Source organism: Homo sapiens, chromosome 1 (genome assembly GCF_000001405.40).
Source record: "Homo sapiens chromosome 1, GRCh38.p14 Primary Assembly".
Lineage (NCBI taxonomy): Eukaryota > Metazoa > Chordata > Mammalia > Primates > Hominidae > Homo > Homo sapiens.
Window position 1 is genome coordinate 37,514,951 of NC_000001.11, and position 4,498 is coordinate 37,519,448.

Genomic DNA, 4,498 nt, shown 5'->3' on the forward strand with positions numbered 1-4,498 from the left:
TCGGCTGGCCGCCGGCTTTACAGACGCCACAAATCCACCGCGTCCAAAGCCTAGCTCGTCCTCAGGCCTCCGAGTCTCCTGTGCGCCCCGCTTCAGTCCACTTCAGTGAATGACTTTCACTATCCACCGAATTGCCTGCGTCAGAAACGCGGTTTTCCTCACTCTGCACCTGGAGTAAAACGCGATCCCAGGTCAAGCTCTATGGACTCGACTCCGGAAGAGCTCGCGAATCCATTTGCTTGTGCCTGCGCCTTCTGCCACCTCACTAGTTCATTCAGGCCCTCCCTGTTTGGGGCTACATTATTCCAGCGGCTTATTTCCACCTTTAGCCCCACTTAATCCACTATCCACAGTGGTGCCAGGATCTTCCAGAAACAAATGTTATCACTCCCCGGTTTAAAGTCTTTCAGTGGCTTCCCATTTTCCCAGTGCCCTTTGGAGAAACAAGTATGTGTAGTGGTTAAGGGCACAAAACTGGAGCGAGAACTACCTTGTTCAAAATCCTATCGCTACATCGATAAAGTGTGCTCCTTTGGGCAAATAACCAAATCTCAACTCCCTCATCTGTAAAATACAAGCAGTAATAGAATCTACCTAATACATTTGCTGTGAGGAGTAAATCACCTAATATGTGTAAGGGGTTTGGCAGGCGCCAATGACTGTGCAAGTACGAGTTCGCTTTTATCGTTAAGTCCAAGGTGTAAACGTTGTTTTCACTTGGCCCCTGTGGATTTCTCCGTCCTCAGCTCTCCATCTTTCACTGTTCTGCAGTTTCGCTATCATAAGTCTAAGTGGGATATTTTTTCTTCCTTTTGTTTTGTTTCTTGCTTGGAAGTCTTTGGATTTCTATAATATGTGGGTTGGTATCTTCCACCAGTTTTGGGAAATCGCAGTCATTTTTCTTCAGATGCCTGTCTCATTTCTCTCTCCTTCTGGAACTCGAACATAAGAAGCTTTTTAACCTACCGTCTATATTTTCCATCTTTTTGTCCCTCTGTGCTGCATTCTGAATAACTGGTTTCGTGTGCGGATCTTGTAACCTGCCATCTTGCTGAACTCCCTTACTAATTTTAGGGGGGGTTGTATAGATTCCTTGGAATTTTTACATAGATAATAATTTCATCTGCAAATAAATAGGGAGTTTTTTTTTTTCTAAGCTGAGTGCTTTTTCTTTTTCTTCCTTATTGTGCAGATTTCCAGTAGTCTGTTAAATAAAAGTGATAACATTAGACATCCTTGCCTTGTTCCCTGTTTTAAGGGGAATGCAGGCCGGGCGCGGTGGCTCACGCCTGTAATCCCAGCACTTTGGGAGGCCGAGGCGGGTGAATCACAAGGTCGGGAGATCAAGACCATCCTGGCTAACACAGTGAAACCTCGTCTTTATTAAAAAATACAAAAAAAATTAGCCGGGCGTGGTGGTGGGCGCCTGTAGTCGCAGCTACTCGGAAGGCTGAGGCAGGAGAATGGCGTGAACCCGGGAGGCGGAGCTTGCAGTGAGCCAAGATCCCGCCACTGCACTCCAGCCTGGGCAAGAGCGAGACTCCGTCTCAAAAAAAAAAAGGGGGGGTGGCGAATGCATTCAGTCTCTCACCATTAAGTATGACATTAGTTGTGGGAGTTTTGTAGATGCTGTTTTTCAAGGTGAGGAAGTACCTCTATATTCCTAGTGTAAACCAAAAAACAAACAAGTAAAAAAACTTTTAAGCCACTGGGTGCGGTGGCTAAATCCCACCACTTTGGGAGGCCGAGGCGGGCGGATCACGAGGTCAGGAGTTCAAGACCAGCCTGACCAACATGGTGAAACCCCATCTCTACTAAAAATACAAAAAATTAGCCAGGTGTGGTGGTGTGCGCCTATAATCCCGTCTACTCAGGAGGCTGAGGCAGGAGAATCGCTTGAACCGGGGAGGCAGAGGATACAGTGAGCCGAGATCGCCACTGCACTCCAGCCTGGGTGAGAGAGTGAGACTCTGTCTCAAAAACAAAACAAAACAAAACAAAAAGCTGGCTGGGCGAGGTGGCTCACGCCTATAATCCCAGCATTTTGGGAGGCCAAGACAGGTGGATCACCTGAGGTCAGGAGTTGGAGACCAGCCTGACTAACATGGTGAAACCCCGTCTCTACTAACAATATAAAAAATTAGCCGGGCGTGGTGACAGGCACCTGTAATCCCTGTACTCAGGAGGCTGAGGCATGAAAATAGCTTGAACCCGGGAAGTGGAGGTTGCAGTGAGCCGAGATTGCGCCATTGCACTCCAGCCTGGGCAACAAGAGTGAAACTCCATCTTAAAAAAAAAAAAGTTGGTGTGCTCCATCAATTCCCGGAGGCCCGACAAAGGTAGCCTGGGAATTCCAGATAAATGGAACAAATGATGACCTGCTAGAAACGCATGGGAAACAAAATAACTATTCACAGAACCACATAAAAGCCTTCCAATAGAAACTAAAAAAAAAAAAAATCATGGTTTTATATATATGAATACACACTTGATCTTAGCCAAAAGGCCAAGAAGCGATATATATATGCATACACAAGCAAGGCCCAGAGGAGAATAAACAGCAAACGAATGAAAATTAGAAACAAAAACAAATAAACAGGAAACCAACTCTAAATTTTTCCTACTCAATCTACCCTGGAGGCTACAGTGTTACCCAGAGCCCCCAAAACTCCACATAATATTTTATTCCTAATACACAATTCAATATCCTTAAGTCCACCAATATCACCATACATCCTGCAAAATCAAGAAATTCACTCTAGGCACATGACCAATAAGTACTCCAGTGCCAGCACTATCCATGCAAAACAGTAAACATAGTGTGAAGCAATACAAGCATGGATGTGAAATTTGGCTCCACACTAAATCCAGCTTTGTGCTTAACTATATTAAAAAAGAATTGCCAAACTGCCTATTCATTTCTTTACAATATTTATTTTTCTTTTTTTTTTTTTTTGAGACAGAATTTCTCTCTTGTCACGGAGTACAATGGCACAATCTCAGCTCACTGCAACCAGTACCCACCATTCAAAGTTCCCAACTTTTCTTTGTGTTCCTGTCTTCTGAGCCCTTCAAACTCTTCCAAACTCTCTCTGTTACCCAGTTCCAAAGCCGCTTCTGAGAGGTGACAGCGTGCTGGCAGTCCTCAGAGCCCTCGCTTGCTCTCGGCACCTCCCCCGCCTGGGCTCCCACTTTGGTGGCATTTGAGGAGCCCTTCAGCCCCCCACTGCACTGTGGGAGCCCCTTTCTGGGCTGGCCAAGGCCGGAGCCCACTCCCTCAGCTTGCAGGGAGGTGTGGAGGAAGAGGCACGAGCGGGAACCCGGGCTGCGTGCGGCGCTTGCGGGCCAGCTGGAGTTCCGGGTGGGCGTGGGCTTGGTGGGCCCCGCACTCGGCGCAGCCAGCCAGCCCTGCTGGCCCCGGGCAATGGGGGACTTAGCACCCGGGCCAGTGGCTGCAGAGGGTGTACTGAGTCCCCCAGCAGTGCTGGCCCACCGGCGCCGCGCTCGATTTCTCGCCGGGCCTTAGCTGCCTTCCCACGGGGCAGGGCTCGGGACCTGCAGCCCGCCATGCCTGAGCTTCCCACCCACTCCATAGGCTCCTGTGCGGCCCGAGCCTCCCTGACGAGCACCACCCCCTACTCCACGGTGCCCAGTCCCATCGACCACCCAAGGGCTGAGGAATGCGAGCGCATGGCGCAGGACTGGCAGGCAGCTCCACCTGCAGCCCCGGTGCGGGATCCACTAGGTGAAGCCAGCTGGGCTCCTGAGTCTGGTGGGGACGTGGAGAGTCTTTATATCTAGCTCAGGGATTGTAAATACACCAATCAGCACCCTGTGTTGAGCTCAAGGTTTGTGAGTGCACCAATCGACACTCTGTATCTAGCTGCTCTGGTGGGGCCTTGGAGAACCTGTGTGTCCAAACTCTGTATCTAACTAATCTGATGGGGACGTGGAGAACCTTTCTATCTAGCTCAGGGATTGTAAACGCACCAATCAGCGCCCTGACAAAACAGGCCACTGGGCTCTACCAATCAGCAGGATGTGGGTGGGGCCAGATAAGAGAATAAAAGCAGCCTGCCAGAAGGCGCATTGGCAACCTGCTGGGGTCTCCTTCCGCATTGTGGCTGCTTTGTTCTTTCGCTCTTTGCAGTAAATCTTGCTACTGCTCAGTCTTTGGGTCCACGCTGCTTTTATGAGCTGTAACACTCACCGCGAAGATCTGCAGTTTCACTCCTGAACCCAGCAAGACCACGAGCCCACCGGGAGAAACAAACAACTCCAGACGTGCTACCTTAAGAGCTGTAACACTCACCGTGAAGGTCTGCAGCTTCACTCCTGGAGCCAGTGAGCCCACGAGCCCACCGGGAGGAACGAAAGACTCCAGACGCGCTGCCTTAAGGGCTGTAACACTAACCGTGAAGGTCTGTAGCTTCACTCCTCAGCCAGCGAGACCACGAACCCACCAGAAGGAAGAAACTCCAAACACATCTGAACATCA

The 4,498-nt window shown here is 49.6% G+C and overlaps 1 annotated feature.

The window, feature by feature from the left end:
* Positions 3,512-4,011: an enhancer, noted in NCBI's record as "H3K4me1 hESC enhancer chr1:37984063-37984562 (GRCh37/hg19 assembly coordinates)". NCBI's record gives its function as "activates a minimal SCP1, AML or CMV promoter by ChIP-STARR-seq in naive H9 embryonic stem cells {active_cell/tissue: H9 hESC(naive)}" and the evidence as "EXISTENCE:reporter gene assay evidence [ECO:0000049][PMID:30033119]".